This window comes from Homo sapiens, chromosome 3 (assembly GCF_000001405.40).
Source record: "Homo sapiens chromosome 3, GRCh38.p14 Primary Assembly".
Taxonomy (NCBI): domain Eukaryota; kingdom Metazoa; phylum Chordata; class Mammalia; order Primates; family Hominidae; genus Homo; species Homo sapiens.
In genome coordinates this window covers 85,912,117-85,939,886 of record NC_000003.12, presented here as the reverse complement: position 1 = coordinate 85,939,886, position 27,770 = coordinate 85,912,117, and the positions used below count along the sequence as shown (strand labels likewise).

The 27,770-nt window shown below is 32.9% G+C and overlaps 1 protein-coding gene across 17 annotated transcripts in view; it reads right to left on the bottom strand.

The window, feature by feature from the left end:
- Positions 1-27,770, bottom strand: part of CADM2 (cell adhesion molecule 2) — a 1,115,441-nt gene that overhangs the window by 134,543 nt on the left and 953,128 nt on the right. For all 17 annotated transcript variants that reach the window (NM_001375961.1, NM_001375960.1, NM_001167675.2 and 14 more), the window contains 2 exons: positions 27,344-27,514; positions 4,030-4,120 (listed from right to left, as the gene is read on the bottom strand). In NM_001375961.1, coding sequence (NP_001362890.1) covers positions 4,030-4,120; positions 27,344-27,514 — 262 coding nt within the window. The remainder of the gene's footprint in view (positions 1-4,029; positions 4,121-27,343; positions 27,515-27,770) is intronic.

The following is a 27,770-nucleotide window of genomic DNA, read 5'->3' as shown; positions in this document are numbered from 1 at the left end:
ATGTGATCTGTCTTCCTAAAGATTAAATTCTTTCTTCTTTTATAGAATTGGAATGTTATGTGCTGTGCAATTATGCATACTAGATTTATGGCAAGAACAAAAGAAAAATTGTGGTTACCAGAAAGTAAAATAGTAAGTACAGCATAAACATTGTGCTGGATACATAGAAAAACTTATCAATACCTATAATTATTTTCTTTTACAGAATAGATGCCAAATACATATTTATCTCACTGAAAATGTCGCATCACTTTTTTGGAGGTGAATTTAAACAGCCTTACACATTCGATTAAAATGAATGATGACTCATTATTTACAGCGTGTTGGGGGCAACCTCACACCATTTAAGGTCATGACTTTAATGTAATATAAAGGTTTCATGTTGTGTGTGTGTGTGTGTGTGTGTGTGTGTGTGTGTTTTCGTTTACTTTTAAAATGGAGAATGCTGCTGCCTGAAAGCTGTCTGGGAATTCAGCCAAAGAAAGAAGAGGGTTGCAAAAACTCTGGGGACTTGAAAGAAAAGTGGCTGGCATTAGCTCGGTCCTCACTTTAAACTAAAATTAAAACAATGGACAGACATGTACAGTAATCTCTCTTTTAAGGAAAGAATAGAATGCTTCTATAGTAGTGTCAAGTGGAACAATTTGGTCCTGGCCCAAGTTATGCAGCTGTTTCACAGGAAAATGGCAAAAGGCTTCAGTCCAAAGCAGGCAAATAGGCATGATTGTTCATAAACAGTCACTGGGGCCCTCACATTTAGAACAAGGAAAACAACATTAGCATAAAGAAGGGCAGGTTCGGAACACCAGGCTCAGTGCAACTTGAGCCATGCCATGATGTTGTGATTTACACAAAAGATAGTGGTGTGATTTTGCCTACTACCAATATACCTAATTACTCTGAATAACTCATTCTTCAAAACGTACTAGTTAAATACTTTTTAAGAAACAATGAAGTTTTGACCACAGATTAAATGTATTATTGAAGACAGCTACAAGATATAAAGAAATCATATAGCCACTATTCATTCCTGATTTTCACATGTTAATGAGAAGTGGATCAGATAAATGATAAAGATGATAAAAATTAAGTGCTTACTTATACTAAGCTATACTTAGTACATTAAGTATACTAAGTAAGCTTATATACTAAGCTTACTTAATACTAAGCTATAGTATTGCTTCTCAGTGGTTCTTAAATAACAAAATGAAGATACAGGTACAATAGTTGCAAAATAATGGAGTAGAACTTTGACAACGATTACCTGAGTAAAACAGGGAATTCTAACCTGCTGATTGAGTATATCACATATTTCATTTTCACTCCCACTCTTGTATGGCTATCTTAAAATATGCAAGACTCCCCATTATATGTGTTGCTATTATTATGTTTTATTTTAAAATATGTTTGACAGAATTTTTTCTCATCCCTCTTCCACTTTTTGATTCATTTTTTGAAGTTGATAGTCTTTCCTTTAGTGGCTGTCTTCACTTCCCTACTACCTACTAACTCCCTGATTAAACCGTTTCAATTTGCATCCTGTTCTTTTTACTCTGGTAAGACTTTTCTTTACGATCAGTAAGATTTCCTTCTGGGAAAATCCAATTATTTCAGTCTTGTCTTGTTTTTTGTCCTTTCTGCCTCATCTGGCACTGTTGGAAATAGTATATAAACTACAGAAAGGCTAAAAATTAGACTGTTTTTAAAGAGATTAATGCCTTCATCTAATGGAGAAGACAGTTACTGTAAAAATATAGAGAAGTTTATTTAAGATGATTAGAAGAACGAAGAAGAAGCAATAGTCCAAATGAAGAAAGGCATCAAAGAAGTTGATTCTAACTTTAATGCTAATGTCCTGACAGTCTGCAAGGAAATATGATAAAGGGAAAGTTGTGAATGAGAATATAATACAAGAAATCAGTTAATACATATTTACTTGTGGACCATAGCATACAGAATATAACACTGGGATTTATGAAGATAAACGCAACATATAATGACTACTTTACTTTGAAGACGTTGTGGAGCTCATGAGTTATTTGCCAGAACACACTACATTAAATTACAGATTTTTATATGGTTAAGAACTCATGCCAGAAACGACTAGTTTGGTAGAAATTTGACAAGTTTCCAGAAATAATATAAATATAGAAGAAAGCCTAATAAAGGAGGATGGCAACAGTGAAACATATCATGAGACTAGCCAGTTCACTGCCCTAAAGCATCTAGGGCTTCAACTTCAGTGATGAAAATTATTGTCAGTCCTATTCTAGTTTTTCAAAAGTAACTTTAGCTAGAATAAGTGGAAATTTACATTTAGCAATTGAAGTAGCAGCACATAATAGAAAGAGTTAAGGCTTTGGGCAAGACTGAACTGAATTCAAATTCTCACTCATTTTAAATCTGGATAAATAGGAAAATTTAGTGAAAAGTTTTGAGCCTTAGTTTCTCTTCCGTAAAATAGGGAGCCTTTCTTATTTCCTTTATCTATTTGCAAAATGATAGTAATCAGGATCCTTCTGAGAAAGGTAATATTTTGCATTTCATAAATCTCTTGAAATTTGTATTCTTAAATAAAATAAATAAGAAATTATTGTGCTTTTCATTCATCTGCAGTGCAGAGGATTATTACACATCCAAGATTATTTCTAGGTAACTGAAAAGAGATTAAAAGAAGGCACATTCATTCAACCATATCTTAGATGAGTTATATGAACTACTTAAATATTTAATTATATAAAACATAAAGTCTAATAATTTCCATAAGTAAAATAATGTTTCTACTGTTGGAAGTAGATATGGAATCAAAGAATCGTTGTAAGACAATTGGATGCTACTTGAGCAGGCATTCATTTATTTTCAAGCATTCTATAAAGCATATTCCCTAACTTCACCTTGTTTAATTGCATAAATTGTGCACATAATCCAAATGTATACAAATGTACTTTTGGATAAATCTGAAGGAAAGAAGACCAAAAACAATCTCTTTAAAATAATTACTAGAAGAGAGAACAGTTTAAAAATATCAAAACTGTGGTAAATAAGGCATGGATTTATTAATATGGTAAAAAATATAATGACATACAATTTATGAAGTTAAAGTGCCAGGCATCTATCTTACAATTCTTTTAGAAACATTCTCCATGGGATAGTATGAAACTTAAATAATATAAATGTTATTGGAGACAAATTTTTAGCAATTTAACCTGATTTGCCAGAAGCAATCTCATATAGTTATATACAAAGAACAATTTAATTCCTTCTATTAAAATTTAAACAGAATTAAAATAAATTGGAATCTTTTAACAAATCAAGTAAATTACATAAAGCTAGGCCTAGAGTGTTCCTGTATTAGAATGATCATATTGCTTTCAAATAGAATTTAAATAATCCATAATTAAATATCCATATGTAAGTTTTGCTTAATAATTGGTATTCCTTGACTAGCTATTTATAAACACAAATTTCAAAAGGTGAAGTTTTAGAGTTGAAGTGACATTATCACATTGACGTGCATATATTCTAATATTGAAATTACTTTACAATTAAACACATTGAGTTTGTGACCCATTACTTGTTTCATTGGGTGTTTCATAAGAAATATAGATTCGATTTTCCTTTTATGAAAATGAGTCTTCTTGTAACTTTAAAACTTGGGCGTATTTTGGGGATGCTTCAATATTTTCTAAGTTTTTCATGGGAGAACTGAATTCAACGGTGTGCTGCTTTTATACTCTGATGATATGAACAGTGACTGATATACTCCATTCAGGTTAAAATATCTTACTGGAAAAAATACAAAAAGAAATAACAGCTGGAAATCTTCCCAGAAACTTCACTAGATGACAAAGTAAAAACCAATCTTCCATAGACCTTAATGAAGACATGGTTCATGAGGTTTTCTGTTCTAGAGATCACTTTGCCCACCAAGAAAAGACACAAACTGTGGATTTCTACAGTTAAAGGCTGTAATCAAAGCAAGATAAAAGAAAAAAAGTTAAAAGCTTTATTGCTCATTAACTCACTTACAGTGGTTTTCCTTTGGATTCACAAGTCAAAATTAAAGGCTGTCCTTCTTGTGGAAAAGGAGTCGATGGTATAATCTTAACTGATGGTGTATCTAGAAATAAAAGAATATTAAGAAAGGTAATTAAACACATACAAAACTAGATATTTAATAACTGTGCATCATGCTGTGTGTTCAGCATTTCTTATATATTATTTATAATTGTGTATATTTATAAAGGATTTCTTAGATTTGGTAAAATAAGGTGTGTGATTTAAAAAGCTAACAACCTGTCCATGCAAAGCTAACAAAAATATCTAAATATCTCCTGAGCACCACTGTTGTATTATTTCTGAAATCTGAATTTAAAAGAGAAATTGCAAAATGTGGTTGAGATGAATATCAAGCATTTCATACAATTGTTTCTTAAACTATTTATAGATGGCTATGAATACTATTATTATGGGCTGAATGCATTTATGTGCATCTGAATAACAACACTTTCATTGTTACAGGAATACCAGGGACTCACAATAAGGAACCCACAATGAACTCAAGCTCAATTACTGTCTCACAAGTATTATGCAGAATCTTTTCAAAATGCAATGATGCAGCACTGGGCACATGCCGCTTGCTCTGAAGTACAGAAGTACAGTTAGTGAGTCACTTCCAATAGCATTTATGATTTTATTAAAAGTTAACATTTGTTATATGTGCTACTGCATGTTTGTTAGAAAATTATTTATTTCCATTTAACAATAAATCATCCCTAGTGAGAATTAAAGAATACTTCAAGACATTTATATGTATAACTTGAATGACATACAATATTCCTTAATCAACACAAAGGTAACATATTTCATAGAAAAAATGGAAAATAAGCTCAAAAAAGAGACGATATTAACACATTCTTTCTTTATGAGGCTTTGCTAGTCCTGGCATTGTCTGGCCCACAGTCAATGTGAAATTGTCTTCTCCTCTTATCTTCACATTCTCTACAATAAACAAAATAGGCTCTGAACTCTCCAGAAGATCACAATTATTCTCACTCTTCCCTTCTTAGCTGTAACAGAAGGACTGATCTGCACTGTTATTATATACATTCTTTGATTTTAGAGCCAGTTAAATGAGTTACTACCGATTGTGTAATTTTCAGGTGAGTTACCTTATCTAAGGAAAATATTATTTAGATTTCTCCTATATAGAATAATAAAGTATAAAATAAAATGTAATAGTTTATATCATACTTTAAAATTATGTATGCTTTTCAAATGCATTCTCCTTTAATTCCTTAAACAAGAGAATGCATTGAAGACAATTAAAAATAACATTCTGGTTGCAAATAAACATTCAAAATACATCACAGTAAATACTTGTGGTGTAAAATGACTTAGGAAGAAAAATTAATCTGAAAAAATATGATACACATTCATCATACTTTTTTAACTGATAGAAGAAAAAAATTGAATATCAGATTTAAACATACTTTATTAATTTTTTCCATTATCAGCACATCTATGGAATCAGTTATTGACTAGGATAACCATATAATTTCATCTCCAGAGCAGGACATTTTTAAAAGAAAAAGAGAAAATATTAATAATTATGAAGATGACAGTTGTGAACCAGACTGTTCTGGTCAAACTGAGGCCTATGGTCTTTTGACCTCTAACTAAACATACATATAGCAACATTTATTTTCCCCATGACATATTATAAAGAAGAGTTTAGTTTTCATGGAAAAAGTTTGAGGTGAAAGATCAGAAATGTATAATTTTGGGAGACAGAATTATGTTAACATGGGTGTCTGTGATGTTTAATTTTGTGTGTCAGTTTGACTGTGCCTTGGGGAGTCCAGCTATTTGACCAAACATTATTCTGAGTGTTAATGCGAGGATGTTTTTTGGAGGAGATTAACATTAAAGTTGGTAGACTGAGTAGAGCAGATGGCATTCCATGATATGAAAGGGCCTCATCCAATCTCTTGAAAGACTAAATAAAATTAAAAGGCTGCTCCTCCTCCAAGTAGAAAATAAATCTTCCTGCCTGATGTCGTTTGAACTGCAATGTTGACTTTTTTCCTGCCTTTAGAATAGAATGGAAACCTTGGGTCTTTCTGGGTCTGGATCCTGAGACCTTTGGACTGGAACTATATCATCAATTCTCTTCGTTCTCAGGCCATTAGACTCAGAGTGGAACTAAACCATTGGTACTCTTGGTCTTCCAGCTCGCTGACTCACTTTGCATATCTTGGGATTTCACCTCCATAATCACATGGACAATTCCTCACAATAAATCTCCTTTTATATGTATGTACAGCCTATTGGCTCCATGTCTCCGGAGAACCCTAACATGGTGTCCAATATCCTAACAAAGAGACCCTGAGGCTGTCTTTTATTGAGCGGGGAATGTGCCAGGTGGTAATCTCAGGAAGCCTTGAGAAGTGAGACAGGAAGGGAAGGAAGTAAATGAAGCCTGTGTTATTGAGCAGATTACACTATGAGCAAAGCAAATTGAATTCAATTCCACTGTGGAACCGAGAGTGAGTGGAGGACATGACTCTGAGTTACCTTACTTGATGGGCAAGACACAGGACTATTGATGGAATATTTATTTATTAGTTATCCTCTTTGGTTGAGGACTGCTCCTGAGGGTGGGGGTGGAGGAGGTTGGTGAGGAGGTGTTATTTCCTAGGCACTTTTGCCCTTGTCAGTACACAAAAATAGTATGTGCCAAAGGGAAATGGAAGGTCACCACCAGGATCTGCTTCACTAAGGTAAATTACATAGTGGCAGGCAGCTGTGAGAAAAGAGGAACGCACAATGTGGCTTTGCTCTGCCTGTTTAGTTTAAGCAGTACAGGAGAGGCGAGAATCTGTGTAACAAATGTTCCCTTGAAGTATGATTCAGCATTCCCTTTAGATCTGACACACAGAATTTCCATTATAAGCAAACGCCAAAGCAGATAATATACTTAACACATATTTCCATACAACTCTCAGGAATAACCTAAATAAGCTCTAAGTTACTAAAAATCAAGAGATGTAAGACAGTATTCATTTATTTGACTTCAAAATTATTCAAAGTGTTGATTAGCTCCTGTTTCTAAGACCTATCTTTCCATATAAATAAGGAAACACACACACACAAAAACAGAATTTATGTAAAGATAATTTTAAAATGGAGATTTAAATAATTATCTTCCCTAGATTTCCTTGACAAATACCTATGTTTCATCTGTTCCTCAACCCCCTCCCTGCCACACATATACTCCTGGTTCAACTCTTAGGTCCCTGGCTACATTTTCTCAGATTCTGTTGGGTGGTATTTTTCTATGTAGCCTTTACATGTTTAAGATCAGGGTGAATGGGATTCAAATTCTGTTCTTTGATGAATTTCTCTAGGTCTTTTAAGCCTCACTCTTATCTTTAGTTTCCATTTACTTACCAATCACTCATGGATTTATATCCTAGTGCAGTTCTGCTTCACAAGCTTATTTATGTGCAACACCTATGTGGCATGTTCACTTGGATATCTAAAAGGCTTGGCACATTTGACGTATTCAAAATGAACTCAGTCTCCAATCTTTCCCCAACGTTTCTCCTTCAGAGAGCTCTATTTCTATAGATACCACTAGCATCCACGCAGTGACATACACCCGATACCTCGTTTCTTTGTTTTTTTCCATAATCAATTACCCATGAACTCTTGTTAATTTATCTTCTAAATAATTTTCAAATTAATTCACTACTTTTTCATAGTTCCACAGCCACTATTTTAATCTAGTTTGCCAAAATAGTAAATGGTCTCCTTTATGTCAAAATTTTAACCCTTTAAATCTTACTCTGATAACGAAACAAAATTGTCTTCTCAAAACATAAATCTGATCACATCAACTTACTACTTAAAACCTTTCATAATTAATCTTTTCTCTTAAAAATTATTAAACCATTTAATAATTTTAATAATTAATAAATTTAAAATAAAAATTTAAAATAATTTTAAATTTTAAAATTTAATGATTTTAAATTTAAGTCCTGCATAACCTGTATCATTTATGTTCTTGTCTTCTAATGTTCTATTTTATTATTTGAATTCCAGCCAATTTTATTTTTATCAAGTTCTTTAATAAATGTGTTTCATTTTGCCTTCATACAAATTATCAGAAATGCTCCATTTTGGAGAGATTCCTTGCTTATTTAATTCTTACGTATTTTTAAAATCTTAATTCAAATGCTTTTGCTAAGGGCAATCATTCATTACCTTCAAATCTGATCAGATACCATTGCTGCATGTTCCTTTTTTCACCTTTGTGTAATGTTCTTTTTAAAAGTAGTTGATATATCCTCCATGTCTTGCATAGTGTTTAAACAAAGTGTGTGCTTAATAAATAATTGTTAAATAAGTGGAAGTAATATTCTTTTTATTTTCTTTTTTTTCAGACAAGGTCTCACTCTGTCCCCGAGGCTGGATTGCAGGGGTGTGATCACAGCTCACTGCAGCCTCGGCCTCCTGGGCTCACATGATCGATCCTGCAGCCTCAGTCTAGTAAGTAGCTGGGACCACAGGTGTGCTCCACCATGCCTGGCTAATTTTCTTTCTCTTGCTCTCTCTTTCTTTTTCTCTCTTTATCTCTTTCTTACTTTCTTTCTTCTTTCTTTCTTCCATTTTTGAAGAGATGGAGTCTCACTGTGTTGCCCAGGCTGGTCTCGAACTCCTGGCCTCACGTGATCCTCCCACCTTGGCCTCCAAAAGTGCTGGGATTACAGGTGTGAGCTACCATGCATGGCCAGCAATAAAATTTGTGATATATCTTATCATCATTTTGGTATACTATTCTAAAATATTTTTAAATGCTTAAATGAAATTTATTGGTGCCTGATGTTTAGAAGGTACATTAACAAGATTAACATTATAATTAATCTGAACTATTAATTAATTAACATTTAATTATTAAGTAATATAATTATTAATATATTAATTAATTAACATATAATTAATCTTAAATATTTAAGTTGCAAACCTTAGATTAACTTTTAATCTTAGTTCATATTTAATTTAATGTGGAGTACTATTCAACCATAAAAAGAATGAGATCCAGTCATTTTTAACAACATGGATGGAACTGGAGATCATTTTGTTTTGTGAAATAAGCGAGGCACAGAAACACAAACATCACATGTTCTCATTTATTTGTGAGATATAAAAATCAAATCAATTCAACTCGTAATCATAGAGAGTAGAAGGATGGTTACCAAAGGCTCAGAAGGGTACTGGGGGTTTGAGAGGGAGGTAGGAATGGTTAAGGAGTACGAGAAAAAAATTAGAAAGAATGAACAAGACCTACTATTTGATAGCACAAGGAAGTGACTATAGTCAATAGTAATTTAACTATATATTTTAAAATAAGTTACAGAAGGTAATTGGACTGTTTGTAACTCAAAGAATAAATGCTTGAGGGGATAGATAACCCATTCTTCATGATGTGCTTATTTCGTTTTGCATGCCTGTATCAAAACATCTCATGTACCCCATAAATATATACACCAATTATGTACCCATAGAAAGTTTTAAAAAAAGAAAAATTTTTTAAATGTATATTGCACACTCTCTGTTACAAATAATCTGCATTGGATATCATTAGGTAACAATTTTCTATGTTGTTAAAAATACCAATTTCTTTTTAATGCAAGTACTACATGTGTAAACTATTTTTTACTCATCTGATTTTGGCAGAGGTAGTACTCAATTGTGAAGACATTTATTTAATTATTCAGCCAAAGCTAGTTTATATTTCCATGATATAAATTATTCCTCTTTAAACATGCCATTTTAGTAATACTCACTAAATGCCTTTTTATTAACCACAAGTACTACAGTAATGAGGTTATTATCTTAAACTTGACTCTCGAATAATTGTTTTTAATAGCAGGAAGTAATTTTGGTTTTGATAAAGATCTATGTCATTATTATTTCTATTTATTTTCATCAGACACTTTATCATACATAAGAGAATTGATTAAGCAATGTTATCCTAAAAACATTTTAGTAAGATATCAATAATATTCTAGAAATAATGCTTGTAAATGCGTTTAGAACTACTATACTTTGTTAGCTAACCAAAGAACAGAAAAGTAGTCATCTCAAAAACTGAGTTAATTTTGAAAGTCTTCACTTTCCAGGATGTCTTCAAACTATTTATATTAATGTGTGAGACTCTGATGTAAACATATTTCTCTCTATTATTTATTTTGTTACATATCAAAATGAATGGATTGTCAGGACTGGCACAATGCATAATAGATTACATGTAAACGGTTTTCTAAAATAATCTTAAATTTATGCACTTAATATGTTACTCCACTTTTTACTGACCCAGATATGAATAGTAATGAAGTAAATAGTGCATCATCCAAACTTTTCCTTACATGCTTTTGCCAAGTTATCTACTAGATTTAGAAAAAAAAGTTTGTATTTTTTCTGTGAATATGTTTTATAAGTTAATTATAGATTTTCTTCTGGTTCATAGTTGTTCATTTTAAACATATTTCAAATGATTGAAATTGGGAATATTTTCTAAACCAAATTTTACTTAAACAGTAATTCCAGACTTACTGTAGAAATAATTCCTCTATTTTCCTCTGTAGGAGCAAGGTGTGTTACATTTATTCCTGCTCTACTATTTCACAAGACAGAATGACTCTTTTGGTTCAATACATTGGAGATGTGTATGATGTTCTGTTTTTAATTTACTGATATAATGTATTGTATTGTACCAATTAGTAATAGTTTAAAAGGGGGTTAGAAAAAATGCATTAATACGACTGCTATTTATTCTAGTTTTGTCCTGTATGTGAAACTCAGATATTTTTTGCAAACTAGCAATTTTCACGCAGTTTTAAAATGCCTTTAAAAAATTGGTCCTTTCAACGTTGTATTTATTAAATATACATGAATGTACATAATGTATATTTGTAATATATCCACATTTTGAGCACTCAAAATCTAATATATTAACTTACTCGATTGTGTGTCCTTATATCTCATGCTTAGTAAATTGTAAGAGCTCTTTAAGTGTTGTGTAAATAAATGAATGTTTTGTTCAAAATGCAAAAAAACTGAAGTTTTGTACAAGTGTGTAAAGATAGGCATATATTCAATCATTAACAAATAATTTTTCAGTACTTGTAAGTATCCAACTAAAATACGCAGATATTTTAAAAGCAAAATGCTCTAAGACTTTTGTAGAAACAAAAAATATTCTTTAGAATGTCTATAAAATGTTTAAATGTGGAAAGCCCCATTGTTTTCCTAGATTTTTTTTTTATTGCTTTACCTTTGTCTGACATATTCTGGGGCTTATTTAGGAAGAAACACAATTACTTTCAAAAGCTAGATTTATGGACAAAAGGTTTTTCTTCTTTTGACTGGGCGTGGTGGCTCACGCCTGTAATCCCAGCACTTTCGGAGGCCGAGGTGGACGGATCATGAGGTCAGGAGATCAAGACTATTCTGCCCAACATGGTGAAACGCCGTCTCTACTAAAAATACAAAAATTAGCTGGGCATGATGGCATGCGCCTGTAATCCCAGCTACTCGAGAGGCTGAGGCAGGAGAATCACTTGAACCCGGGAGGCGGAGGTTACAGTGAGCCGAGATCGTGCCATTGCACTCCAGCCTGGCAACAGAGCAAGACTCCATTTCAAAAAAAAAAAAAAAAAAATTCTTCTTTTATACAAAAATTTAAAGGTTTTATGAACTTGGGAAGTAAGGATAGCTCACTTTCCATTTGAATGACTGAGGATTTGAATCAAAGTAAAGATATTGATCCAGCAGAATGGATTTTCTATATCCTTAGCAAGGATTTTAAAAGAGAAAAGACCTGTGATGAAGCTTCTATTAAACCACCTTATGAACAATCTTAAAAGCACAAGCTTTGAAAGTATTTAGCGTCATTGGCTTAACAAAATTTATCCATCACCAGATTTTGTAGATAAATAAAAAGAAGCTTTGAGTTAAATGTTTTATCAGGAAAAAAATAAAATAAAAAACAACGTATTTCTTTTGTAATTGAATAAGTATAATAGAAATTTAAGGTTATATAAAATCAACACTTAACCTGTTATGGATGATGGCCAAAATGCTAAGTAAGAGAAACAACCAAAGACTACTGTACCCTCCTATATTGCATAATGTAGTGAGTGAAGAAATACAGTGGTTTGTAACACAAAGTAGCAGTCATTTGCATTGCTTATATTACAGTCTTTGGTTGAAAGAAAATTATAATATTGATAATTTTATTTGTTCACAAAATTAGTTCCTATGAGTACTGTCATTTATTCATTTGACAAACACTTACATAGTTCCTAAGACACACAAAGAAGAGTGCTAGTACCCATTTCTATCCATTGTTTCACTAGAATGGTAACATTGTAACATTATAACATTTTACATTGTGACATTCATATTGCGGTCCCTCAAGATCAGGTATTAGTCTTAAACGGTGCTACTCAGTGTTTGGCATATTCCTAGGATGCATGCTTATCAAAGCAGAGATCATCTTTTATCTTGTACACTGACTTATCCTCATGTCCTAGAATAACTACTGGACCTCAATTAAGTAATTGTTGAGTAAATAAATGAATAATGGTCTTTTGAAATATTTTCCAACTACTGATTAAATTTGTTAGAAAATCAAATTTACTCGTCACAACTATCTTCTAATAATAGTAAACATTAATCAAATACTTGGTAAATAATACGCATTGATGTAATTGCTCTGTATGCATTGGCTCATCAAACTCTTATAAAGCATACCAAAAATTCTGTGCTCTCCTCATTGTACAGAATACGAAACATGCTCAAAGGAGTGAAGTTAACACTGATAAATTTATTTGACCCTTTTTCTCCAATCTTAATCACATTTCAATGAGTTTGTGTTTTCTAGTCTCTTTTAGACTACACTAGCAATTGATGTTTTTCATACTATGTTCTGTTAAATTCATCAGAATTAACTCTTTCTCTATCTGGTTAAATTAGCAGCCAGCCCAAGGCTTTGGCTCTATATGATCTGCATATTGTGTACACTCTCATATATCTCTCTCACATCGTTTTCCTCATTGACAGTCAAAAAATATTCTTTTAAAATACACCCACTGTCTCATTTATAAAAACAGGTTCTTCTTATTCACAAACTCTTCTCATCCACAAATAATATAAAAAAAAAACCTCCCGATAGCAAATTTGTACTAACGGAAATTTAGAAATTTTAAAGTGTCTTGCAGATGAAAGACTTGTGAATCTTTGCCTTATCGCAATATTATTGCATAAGAGTTTCCAAACTAAATTTAGGTAACACTCATATAAAGATCTCTCAGAACTTAACATTAATACTAAAGAAGACAATGCACTAACTCACTATTGTGAAGCCACTTTTGTTTTACTTCAAAATAGTGGTTCTCATCTGAGTACAATTTCATCCCCTAAGTATATTTGAAAATGTCTGAAGATATTTTTGCTTGTTAGAGGAACGGAGAATAGCAATTAACATCTAATGAGCAGAGGCCAGGAGTGCTGCTAAACATCCCACAGCACATAGGACAGCCCCACACCAGCCCCCAAAAAAACAAACAGAATTCTCTTGCCCAAAATGTCAATAATACTTTTCTTTAAAATATTTACATTTACTTTATTATCTATTTTCTATTTATTTATTTATTTATTTATTTATTTATTTATTTATTTTTGAGACAGAGCCTCACTCTGTCGTCCGGCTGGAGTGCAGTGGTATGATCTCGGCTCACTGCAAGCTCCTCCTCCCGGGTTCATGCCATTCTCCTGCCTCAGCCTCCCGAGTAGCTGGGACTACAGGCGTCTTCCACCACGCCCGGTCATTTTTTTATATTTTTAATAGAGACGGGGTTTCACCGTGTTAGCCAGGATGGTCTCGATCTCCTGACCTCATGATCTGCCCTCCTTGGCCTCCCAAAGTGCTGGGATTACAGGCGTGAGCCACTGTGCCCGGCCTATTTTCTTTATATTTGTCTATCTATCTATCTATCTCTGTCTTCTTTGTTACAAAAGATAGGGAGCTACTAGAGAACTGTGGCGCTGTATGCATTGATACGAATTGCTTATGTTCTCTCACATCATTGCTTACTCCTGAAAGGAAGTGAACGCTTAATACTCTGAGTTAGGCCATTATGATACACTCCTGAAATGAAAAGCTGTAAATCAAACTCAATCCACACCTCAAGTTCTACCACTCAATAGGAACAGTGGGGTTAAAATACCAAGGGTTAACAGGACTCTTTCAGTTCCAGCACTATCTGATTCTCGTTTTTTCCTGGGTACAATTGTGTTTTTCTAAGATGTTTAGTTTATTTTTCCCGTTTGTAATTCTGTAGTAAAATTCTCACTTTCCATTTAACTTACATTTCTTAATACTGAAAATTATCCGGTACTTTTCTTCAACGGTGTGTTAAATTTCTTTCGATTTTAGTGAATGCTTCTGTGGCAATCATTATTTATTTGAAAAATATTTATAAATCACTGTGCATACAAGACACAGTACCACTATTATAAAACTGTTATACATCTGCAAAAATAGCAACCCATCGGAATATAGTATTAATAAATTAGATAAATTATATATAGTTCAAAATAATTCAAACTCAATATTGTAGACACCATAGTACTTGGATGATGTAGTATGGGAGTTGCCAGGATAGATTATACATATTTGTCAGAAGCAAAGAAGATTACTTAGAAAAGTGACATTTAAAATAATTCAGAGAAAACACAGCATTTGATCTGGTAGAAATTTTCTAGAGGGAAAGAAAAGAAGGGATTTAAGGCAAAGGAAAAATTAACAAAGTGTTGTATTAAAGAATGTTGGCTATATATGAGGCATCTAGAAATAATGTAAAGCATAGAATGCATTGTCTGAAAAAGAGTACTTGAGAGCAGCATTATAGGGGGTTGGTTGTATTTTAAAAGCCTTGAATGTCAAGCTGTAGAGTTTGGACTTTATGTTAGAAGCAATAAGAAATCTTCGCGGGTTTGTATCAGGTAAAGAACCAATATTTAAGAAGACATGTTTGGCAGTGTGTAAAACTGAGTGTATCTAGGAGAGGCATAGAAGCAATGTGTCTCTATCATAAAGTTGGGCCACAAGGAAGACCTTAAAGGGAAGCAAAAGGTAGCAGTAAAAATACAGATAATAAATGCATCAGCACTTTCGTTCATTTTAATTCTTATTTATTTATTTATTTATTTATTTATTTATTTTTAGATGTTGTTTCATTTTGTCACCCAGGCTGGAGTGCAGTGGTGCCATCTCGGCTCACTGCAGCCTCAAACTCCTGGGCTTAAGGGATCCTTCCACTTTGGCCCCCGATGTAGCTGGGCTACAGGAACACGCCACCACTCATGGCTAATTATTTTGTATTTTTTGTAGAGACGTGGTTTCCTCCATGTTGGCCAGGCTGGTTTCAAACTCCTGAGCTCAAGTGATCCATCTGCCTTGGCCTCCCAAAGTGCTATGATTACAAGCGTGAACCACTGTGCCAGTCCATACATTTTTATAACTGTTGACTCTATGGTACATTATTTTAAGTGCATTTGAAACAGTTCTAACTATGTTTAAGTAATGATATTTCATAATTTGTGTTCTTTCTTTATTAGAGGTGCTCCAAAAAAAAAGAAACAATTTAATTTTAAAAATAGGTTTAAAAATTGGCTTACCTTGCAATTATGATATGGAAACATTAAATCATCTTATAAATCTAAGATACATTATGAAATTTTGGTGACACTATGTTTCTTTTATTATGAGAAATCTTGCTACTTCAGGGACCTAGTTATTACTTCACCACTAACTCATCAATTATCCCCAACTATGATAAAAAGAATAACATAAGAATAAAATGGATATATATACAAATGATTTAAGAGTGGGAATGTCCACACAGTAACAACTAATCACATGTGGCTATTTAAATTTAAATGTAATTCAATTATGATTAAGTAAAATTTAAATAGCATTTCCTTAGTCACAATACCCACACTTCAATTGCCGATAACCACAGGGAGCTGATTATTGGCTACCATCTGGAGATAGAGAACATCTCTATTATCACAGAAAGTTATATTGGACAATGCTGGGGTAGAAGGTTTATGCAAGTGATATAAATCATCACTGTTACCTAATCCTTATGTGCTTATAGGATTGCCCAGGTTTTGGATTTTCTTTTGTAAAAAATTAAAAGAAGTATAGAAACAAAAACACCATATTGTAGTTCTGTTTGCTACTGTGTTTGTTTGTTTTGTTGTTTTTTTTTTTTGCTTTCATGATATCAATTGAGAACTCAGAATTTTTAATTTTCTGCCTATAATGGCAAAAGAAGGAAATTAATAAAGACACCCCAAAATTATTAGAAAAATTGGAGGAGAAATGCAAAGAGAAAACAGTGAAGCTCAAGCCTCTTAAAATGACAGTAAAACAAGTTTTCACTTTTGATACTCTAGATAAATTCTATCAAGCTCAAAAATAGATGAGTTGGAACAGTTTCTAATACAAAGAAGGACTTCACCACACAATATTTTGCAACCATATGATTTTGCTGAAAGGAAAATATGACAATGTTCTTTTACCTTTTATGATTTTTGAACATAAGAATTTACTTTACACAGTCCATAAATGGAAACATGTTGAAAGCATTTGGTGATGAGGAAATTTTAAGAATATATTTTAGTTTCGGCCGGGCGCGGTGGCTCACGCTTGTAATCCCAGCACTTTGGGAGGCCGAGGCAGGTGGGTCATGAGGTCAGGAGATCAAGACCATCCTCGCTAACATGGTGAAACCCTGTCTCTACTAAAAAAATACAAAAAATTAGCTGGGTGTGGTGGCGGGCGCCTATAGTCCCAGCTACTCAGGAGGCTGAGGCAGGAGAATCGCTTGAACCCGGGAGGCGGAGGTTGCAGTGAGCCAAGATAGTGCCACTGCACTCCAGCCTGGGTGACAGAGCGAGACTCCATCTCAAAAAAAAAAACAACAAAAAATATATATTTTAGTTTTATTTTAATTGCTCTTTATAAATCTAAAAATGAAAATGTTTTGCAATTATGGAATAAAGATATTGTATTCTTCTGGGTAAAACTATGAGCCATCAAAGTGTTTCTAAAGTATTGCATTCTAACAATGCTAGTGAAAGAAGAACCAAAAAGCAATGACAAGATAGGACACAGTAGAGATGCATTTTGAAGCTTGACTCATTATTTACAAGATGGGTATATTTCAGGATCATGCATGCCAATTATTGCGCAATTTGTGTATATATACCATTAAAGCCAGAGAAATAGATAATAAAAAGTCCGGTTTTTCTGTTTAAATTTTGTATTGAAAGTTCTAATAAAATTTGTTGTTCACTCTCCTTTTATTATTACATTAATACGTCATTAAAAAAAAGACTTAGAGTATAAAACAAAAAAAGTGTGGCCCAGATAGTAGATATGACTATTTTGTTTCCTGATACATTGAGGATTAATAAAGTTTAATATACTGATTAATCACATTTTAATTATAAATGTGATAAAAATTACAACAATTTATAATTACAAATTGACCAACATAACATAATTACAATATAGAAGGAGAAGAAAGGAAAGAAGGGGAAGAAGGAGAAGGAAAGAGAAAGAAGGGGAAAGAGGAAGAAAGGAGAAAGAATAAGAAAGAAAAGAAGCAAAAGAAGGAGGAGAAGAAGAAGGAGGAGAAGGAAGAGGAAGAAGAAGATGATGATGAATCTGCAGCAGCAGCAGAATCATCTGAGGACTGACACTACCCAACTTCAAGACACAGTATCAAACTACAGTACTCAAAACAGTAAGGTACTGGTGAAAAAGGAGATTCATATTGCTAAGTGAAAGATGCCAGTCCGAAGAGATTACATCCTGCAAAATTCCCATTATATGACATTCTAGAAAACACAAAACTATAGTCAATAATAGGATCACTGGTTACCAGGTCTTGTGGGAGAAGTAAAGTGAGATAAAGAGGTGGAGCACAGGAGATTTTTTGGGCTGTAGAATTAAATTGGATGATGTAACGAGAGAGAGAGAGAGAGAGATAACAGTAGATACATGACATTATACACATGTCAAAACCCATAGAACTACACAATGCAGAGTGAACCCTAATGTAAAGGATGTACTTTACTTAACAATAATCTATCAATATTAGTTCTTCAGTTGTGACAAAGATAACACAATAACGCAAGATATTAATAATAGGGGAAACTATAAGGGGAGTGAGGAGAGGGTGTATATGGGAACCCTCTGTACTTTCTGCTCAGCTAATCAGTAAACCCAAAACTGCTCTTAAAAATAAAGTATATTATTTAAAAAAACACCAGACTATTGGACCTGATGGTAAATAGCAATAACAATCTTTCCTAATATATCAAGAGCCAATCCAGTAAAGTCTAATACATTGATTTATTACAGTCATTTTCTAACTATACGTTTTTCTCATGGAAATTGTGTGTATGTCTGTGTGTGTGTGTATGTGTGTGTGTTTATAGTTTATTCAGAAAGTAGAAATACAAAAATTTCAAAATATTGGGCATTAAATATCTACTCATTTTTAATACAAAAATACCTGTAGCTATCTTTTAAAAATAGACATAAAGTAGAATAAGTTATTAAATTGAAAGTTAAAAATATTAGGTATTAACAAGATGTATATGATATTTTTACTTGTCACGGTCATTTATGTCTCATTTTTATCCAGTTTTTATTCTCTATTAGACTGACTTAAAAATAATTGAAAACATTCACTAACATCTGTACTATACATACATTCCATAATTTTGATGTTATGTTTTACTGCCTCTTTATGAAATTAAGGTGTGTTTTCAAAATAATTTTAAAACTTCCAAAAAGTTTTATAAATGCGTACTTGATGATAAGCTTAATTAGGAAATTTGAGAGTATGTTATATTAATTTTATATATACATTTATTATCTTTTAATTTGGAATTCCCATTCACAAATATATATATCCTCTTCAATGAGTTTTAATAACACACACACAAATTGTTACGTACTATTAATAATATAAAGATGGCACAATAACAACATTTTGAATCCTTGCCTGTAGATGGCTTAAAATACCTGATGATTCAATTACTTTTAATATTTAACATAAATATTCTTATATTTTATAAAAGAAAACAATATTTGTCTCATGAGCAAAATGTGCCATTAATATATACTGCTGGTAATATACATAAATGTAACTTCTCTGAAAAAAATTAAAAATTTTTTAGAATCTCAAATAGTGGTCACACTCTAGGCTATCTTTATTGACATAATGAAATGCATCTCTTACTAAACAGCATAGATCACCTTATGATTCTAGCATATATACCATTTCAGTAGCTTTTTGAAATATCTTAGGCTAAATTAAAATTCTTCTAAGGCATTCCCAGGCATAAATATGGCATTTTGTTTGTCAAAAGAACAGTTTAGTTCTAAAAAAATGTAACCCAAATATAATTTTCATTTCACCTTTCCTATTTCCTTTTATATTCTGTGCCCTTATGCTATATATAATTTGTGGTAGACAAGATAATTAGATAATTAGCATTTCATAAATGAGATGCCAGATGAGTGAGATATTTTATTTTGAATGCTCCTTGGAATATTCGTCTTCCTATCTGATAAGCTGATATATCCTGAAACACTTAATATATAATATGTAGAAAGGTAGTGAAAGCAAAGAGAATATAACTAACATAGGGCAATTTAAAATAAACTGACCTGGGCTAGAGAAACGTACGGGTTTGTGTAGTGTAGACTGCATAGATAAGAACTTTATTACTTTTTACAAGTGAAAAAGGACAACAGCCAAGAATACATGAAATAAAGAATCTCTGCCCACATCTGAGAATAAAAAGAAGATACGAACAACTGAATTACCAAACTTTAAACCCATCTATATTGAATATTGTCTTCTATAATCAGAATTTTATTTTAAATCAATTTCATTGTTTTGCAACTAAACAGAGAACTGATCAAGCATATTAGTTGGTCCAGAAAAGTAACAAAAAAGTACAGGGAAGAATTTAGTTTCTCTGGGCACAAAGTAATTATCTTTAAAACGGAGTAAGGCAAGGAAGGAATCTCTTCAGAAATAGTTTGATACATTTTAAAAATGTAAGTTGTTAAGAGAAAAATGGATTGACTTTATTAGTAATTCGCATGGTAACTAGAATAGAGATATAATCATCAAGAAGGTCAGGACTGTCAATTGACCATTTAACCCCTTAAAAAGATATAATTTTAGTAACAATTGGACCCAAACGTTTTTCTGTTATTTTAAATATATATGATATATTTCTTATTTTCATTCGTTATTAACCTAATTAATTTCATGTAAACACAATTTTAACACTTCAGCTTATTTTCCTCTCATCCTTCCTCCTTTCCTTCAGCCATTCATTCCTTCCTTTCCTTGATACTCAGAATTTTTTGGGTGTACATGCAGGGTCTCCTCTACAAGCTATTTTAACTATTTATTGCTTTAAACAGTAATAACTTTCATGTGTAAATAGCTACTCATTTTTATAGGCAAAGCCTAGTACTGTTAAAAGAAGTACTAAACAAACATTAATGATAAGCATAAGATTTCATGATGAGATGAATTATATAGAAAATATACTTTACACACATTTTTTAAAATTTGAACTCTCATTTTTCATATTTTCAGTTCTTAGTTACAGTATTAAAATGCTTTTTCAGGAAAAACACACAATAGTCTGACATATTTTAGTTTTCTGTCTCTTGCACTTTTCATTTTCATTAAGTTTATTTTTAATGTAATTTTTGTCAATGATACATACAGAAAATGAATATTCAGTCATTTTCTTCTTTTCTGTGTTTTGTGCACTGTGAGTGCAGATACATTATTTATACTGAGATTTAAATAATATCTGACTCATACAATATGTTCTTCTAAAAATTAACTCACAAATAAAAAGTTATTTTACAAAGAAATCTGTGCAAAAATGGGAGGACAAATTTGAGTTTTCATTGATTAATTTTTAAAAGTGGTTTTTCCCACTGCTCAGTTGTGAAGTTTCCTCTTCCCTGTTATGTAAAATCTGCAGGTATTTGTGATTCATTGTGAAAGTTCTGCTTTTGATTTTCTTAAATTTCAGTTTTAAAAGAACTCTCTTTCTGCCTGGCAGAGACACAACAAAAAAAGAGAATTTTAGACCAATATCCTTGATGAACACTGATGCAAAAATCCTCAATAAAATGCTGGCAAACCGAATCCAGCAACACATCAAAAAGCTTATCCACCATGATCAAGTGGGCTTCATCCCTGAGATGCAAGGCTGGTCCAACATACGAAAATCAATAAATGTAATCCAGCATATAAACAGAACCAAAGACAAAAACCACATGATTATCTCAATAGATGCTGAAAAGGCCTTTGACAAAATTCAACAACCTTTCATGTTAAAAACTCACAATAAATTAGGTGTTGATAGGACATATCTCAAAATAATAAGAGCTATCTATGACAAACCCACAGCCAATATCATACTGAATGGACAAAAACTGGAAGCATTCCCTTTGAAAACTGGCACAAGACAGGGATGCCTTCTCTCACCACCCCTATTCAACATAGTGTTGGAAGTTCTGGCCAGGCCAATCAGGAAGGAGAAGTGAATAAAGGGCATTCAATTAGGAAAAGAGGAAGTCAAATTGTCCCTGTTTGCAGATGACATGATTGTATATCTAGAAAACCCCATCGTCTAAGCCCAAGCTGATAAGAAACTTCAGCAAAGTCTCAGGACACAAAATCAATGTGCAAAAATCACAAGCATTCTTATACACCAATAACAGACAGAGAGCCAAACCATGAGTGAACTCCAATTCACAATTGCTTCAAAGAGAATAAAATACCTAGGAATCCAACTTACAAGGGATGTGAAGGACCTCTTCAAGGAGAACTACAAACCAGTGCTCAACTAAATAAAAGAGGACACAAACAAATGGAAGAACACTCCGTGCTCATAAACAGGAAGAATCAATATCGTGAAAATGGCCATACTGCCCAAGGTAATTTATAGATTCAATGCCATCCCCATCAAGCTACCAATGACTTTCTTCACAGAATTGGAAAAAGCTACTTTAAAGTTCATATGGAACCAAAAAATAACCTGCATTGCCAAATCAATCCTAAGCCAAAAGAACAAAGCTGGAGGCATCACGCTACCTGACTTCAAACTATACTACAAGGCTACAGTAACCAAAACAGCATGGTACTGGTACCAAAACAGAGATATAGGCCAATGGAACAGAACAGAGCCCTCAGAAATAATGCTGCATATCTACAACTATCTGATCTTTGACAAACCTGACAAAAAGAAGAAATGGGGAAGGGATTCCCTATTTAATAAATGGTGCCGGGAAAACTGGCTAGCCATATGTAGAAAGCTGAAACTGGATCCATTCCTTACACCTTATACAAAAATTAATTCAAGATGGATTAAAGACTTAAATGTTAGACCTAAAATCATAAAAACCCTAGAAGAAAACCTAGGCAATACCATTCAGGACACAGGCATGGGCAAGGACTTCATGACTAAAACACCAAAAGCAATGGCAACAAAAGACAAAATTGACAAATGGGATCTAATTAAACTAAAGAGCTTCTGCACAGCAAAAGAAACTACCATCAGAGTGAACAGGCAACCTACAGAATGGAAGAAAATTTTTGCAGCCTACTCATCTGACAAATGGCTAATATCCATAATCTATAATTAACTCAAACAAATTTACAATAAAAAAAAACCCCATCAAAAAGTGGGCGAAGGATATGAACAGACACTTCTCAAAAGAAGACATTTATGCAGCCAAAAAACACATGAAAAAATGCTCATCATCACTGGCCATCAGAGAAATGCAAATCAAAACCACAGTGAGATACCACCTCACACCAGTTAGAATGGCGATCATTAAAAAGTCAGGAAACAACAGGTGCTGGAGAGGATATGGAGAAATAGAAACACTTTTACACTGTTGGTGGGACTGTAAACTAGTTCAACCATTGTGGAAGTCAGTGTGGTGATTCCTCAGGGATCTAGAACTAGAAATACCATTTGACCCAGCCATCCCATTACTGGGTATATACCCAAAGGATTATAAATCATGCTGCTATAAAGACACATGCACACGTATGTTTATTGAGGCACTATTTACAATAGCAAAGACTTGGAACCAACCCAAATGTCCAACAATGATAGACTGGATTAAGAAAATGTGGCACATATACACCATGGAATACTATGCAGCCATAAAAAATGATGAGTTCATGTCCTTTGTAGGGACATGGATGAAGCTGGAAACCATCATTCTCAGCAAACTATCTCAAGGACAAAAAACCAAACACTGCATGTTCTCACTCATAGGTGGCAATTTAACAATGAGAACACATGGACACAGGAAGGGGAACATCACACACTGGGGCATGTTGTGGGGTGGGGGGAGGGGGAAGGGATAGTATTAGGAGATATACCTAACGCTAAATGACCAGTTAATGGGTGCAGCACACCAACATGGCACATGTATACATATGTAACTAACCTGCACGTTGTGCACATGTACCCTAAAACTTAAAGTATAATAATAAAAAAAGAGAACTCTCTTTCATCATAGTGGCAGTATTTAAATGTATGATTAATATTTTATTTTTAAAAACATTGCTCTGATATATTTTACAGGCTAGATTCATATAAATTGTATATCACAAGGTTACAGACTTAACACAGTTAAGCCCTAGAAATATAAGTCCTCCTACTATACTTTTTTCATTATGCCTCTTGGCATTGTATGTTTATCTTTAATTTCTTATTGCTCACCAAACTTAGGTTTCTACAATATCAGAGGATTTTTATTTTAGATGTAGTCATAGCTGTTTCCATTATTGTAGGAATATATATTTACTCTTTTGACTTACCACTGAAAACAATATCATCTCTGTGGATCTGAAATGCTAAATGTTCTTCCATTTGGGCCAGTCTTTTAGGTTATTCATCACAAGAATATTGTCAAACAATGGAGAAATACTAAAATTATGCTCCATAAATCCCAGATTAACCCATCTTCTTCGTTTCCAAGGCTGAGCTCTTCTTTCCTCCTTCTCATTCATGGAAAGTTCTATATAATCTAGATTGCACATGTGGATCTAAGTGCAGCCATGATCTACTGTCTCTGGGAACAACTATTGAGATGCTATTATCATTATTCTAAGATGTTTATGAAAATCACACCAATTTGCTCTAATATTGATGCTGACTGTTGCTCAATGTCTCCTTTCCATCCTCTACTCATTTAATCTCCGGAGAATGTTCTGCACGCTTAAAGAAACATTTAGCATTATCATCAGTTAGTTTTAATTAACTTCACATACTTGAATGATGGTATGCTAGATGCTAGGAAAATAATTTAAATAGATCTGGTTTCTGCCTTCTAGCCATTTACATATTAAACCATGATAGAATGAGATGCTATTTTTAATTGGCTAGCCATGAAAAGTGTAACATTTTTAATGTAAAACTTTCTTTAAAAATTAGATAATTCAATTGCCTTCCTCCATGAAGTTTTACTTATTCATGCATATTGAAATATGGTTAATGGCTAAAATGCTCAAGAATTGTATAATACTTCCATTTTTGATTTCCAAAGTAGTGAAAATGACCTTGGCAGCTGACATATAGGCTAAAATATTCTCAACAAACAATTTTCCAGAATGTGTAGAGTAATCAAATAAAGGTAGTCTGTGACTGTGGCGTGGAATAACACAAAGACAAGTTCATCTTATGACCAGGTGTGAAACAAGACAGAGATCAGGACCCTCAATGTCCACAAAATTAGCAAAATTAACTACTGTGTCTTTATAATAGCAAACCTACAATATTTTCATTTTTTAGCTAAAGTTACTCATACACCCATCACTGACATGCTCCTAATCCTGAGAACACACAATCCAGAAGCCTCTTTAGAATAGCCGGCACAAGCCCAAATCCTGTAACAAGTCTCTTCTCACTCTTTCTTACCTACATCCAGAGATTCATCTGCTATGTTTTCTCCTTTGCCAGAGCAACTTACATAAATGTGGTTTTGCTTGACTATTGGTAGATTTTGGGTGATCTGTGACTGGAAGTGGTCTTCAATAGTTCTTATGACTGATTTTTATTGTTTTATTTAATTATATGTTAGAATTACCGTTAACTAAGTAGTCAATTATTATTTTAAATTTAGTTTTACTTTGCTTTGTATGTAAATATTAAAGAGTTTAAATTAAAATGCTGTTGATCCTGGTCCTTTAAAAATATTGTTACACAATTTTTTATATTTTGAGAGACCCACTGATGTAAGAAAAAGAAACAGAAAAAGGAAGACAATTGACATTTATTCAGTCTATTAAATGCCATGAACTTGACTTAAGTTCAAGGAATTAATTCTCTAGCCTATCATCACATCCTCACAGGAATGACTCCTCTACTTTATAATCAAAGCTCAACGAGTTTCAGTAATTTTCCCAAAGCCAAAATACAAATAAATGTCAAAATTGAGAGATAATCTCCATTTGGGCTCTGAAGTATGCTTCTTTCTGAATTTGCTTCAAGGAGAATAGCAGTAAATTACTAAAATTAACCTAACATAATTGTAATCATTTAAACATTATAATGTTTTCAATAACTACTAAACTAAGAATAATTTAAAAATAAGCATATTATAGTCAGCTTTATATTTTCCATATAAAAAGTAATCAAAAAATTCTAGTTCACCTGGCAATTCTCCAATCTTTTCTCACAACACTCTGTATTTTTCTCCTAGTCTACTCTACTCCAGTCTCACTGGCACCCTTGCTATTCCTAGAAATAAAAACAACAAACAAGCTACCTCAGGGTCTTTGTACTTGCCCTTCCCTCTGCATTACACCAACACACATACTCACTTTCCTTAATCTCCATTTCAGTCTCCTTACTGCCCTCCTATGCTTTATTTTCCTTGCAGCCATGTACTTATCAACAGGTACTTAGTACTTATCAATATGTAACATGTGATATGTTCCATTTATTTATTTTTTTCATCCCTACCTAGAATGGATGCTGTAAGAGAAATGAAGTTTGTTGGTGATAGCGGAGGTGATTATTTTGACACTTGGAGACAAACTCAATTTGTTTTGTGTTTTTGTTTGGTCATTGCTGTAACCCCAGTGCCCAAAACAATGCCTATTACATAGTGCCACTAAAAAATTATTGTTGAATAAATAAATGAAAACAAAATGCAATGAAACATATTGGAACAGTACTTAGAGTTTAGTATTTTAGGATTTAATGTAATTGCATATCACACACAATTTCTAAGCTCAAGCTATAATTTTATCACAAATAGAGAAAACAAAATCTTCATTATCTAGAAAATCAAATATTGCAATTCAGAACATATTATCTCCTATCCTCTATTCTTTTATATTTTATTTCACATGTTTCAATTCATTCATTTTCATTTTGATTAGTATATATAATTGTCTACTAAAACCTTGCTAGGTACTAAAACTGCCATAATTACAAGTCTGTCATTTGCTAGTTGTGTGACTCAGCCTCCATAATCTTCAGAATCCTTGTGTGTATCTTGTGACTAATGAGAGTAACTACTCATCAGGCTACTATTCGTAAATGAGTACTCAATGACATAATTCCAGCAAAACATTTAGCACTGCCCCGATCTATTAGATTCACAAAATTAATTTTGTTCTTATTGATTGTGAATAATGATGATGATGAAAACATAATAAATAAGCTCCTATATTTATACATTAGTATATGCCATAGAGAAGGTAAAACTAGTCTAATCTTAAAAGCATAGCTGAGAAGCCACAATTGCATAAAATAAAGTTATTTTAATATAACACTGTTCATCAAGGCCCTCTCAGATTACCGATTCTCAGTGATTTTGCTCAAATTACTACTTTTTCTCCCCCACCCTTACGTGCACGCCTACGTTAAGCCACAATTTGAAACATAGGAGTATTAACCTCGTACATCTCCTTCATTTTTCCTCATTGTTAAGAATGAAACTCAGACAAGGAGTGTTTTCCTTTGAACCTGATTAATACTAGTGAATGTAGTTTTACTTCATTTTGCCGTGGATTTTACTGCACCTTTGCTATAACTTCAGGTAGTTTTGAAATGATTTTAGATGCAGATGAAGAGATTTGCTGCTGAGATAAAGGAGGGGGAAGTAGTGTTTACTTACAGTGTATTTCTAGCACCTGCATGGCTACCTGAGGGGTGGCATTGAGGGATTCGTGATCTACTCTGCAGATGACCGCCACTCCATCATCACTCCGGTCCACTCGGAAGTCCAGTGTGCTGCTGACAGTGAATGTCTTGCGATTTGCATCCTCTTCTTTTAAATATTTTACATCTGAAAATAAAATATGAATTTTAAAATGTGACACCTTTCAAAATAAAACAGATTGCATTTACTCAAGATAATGGAAACAGCTTCTCCCTATTTTTATCAATTTTTAAGAAGCAAATATTTGTGATTTTAACATTTAATCTATTTCAATTCAATTAAATAAAATTACAATTACTTAAAAAATAAATTCTTCACGAGGTCAGGAGATCGAGACCATCCTGGCTAACACGGTGAAACCCCGTCTCTACTAAAAGTACAA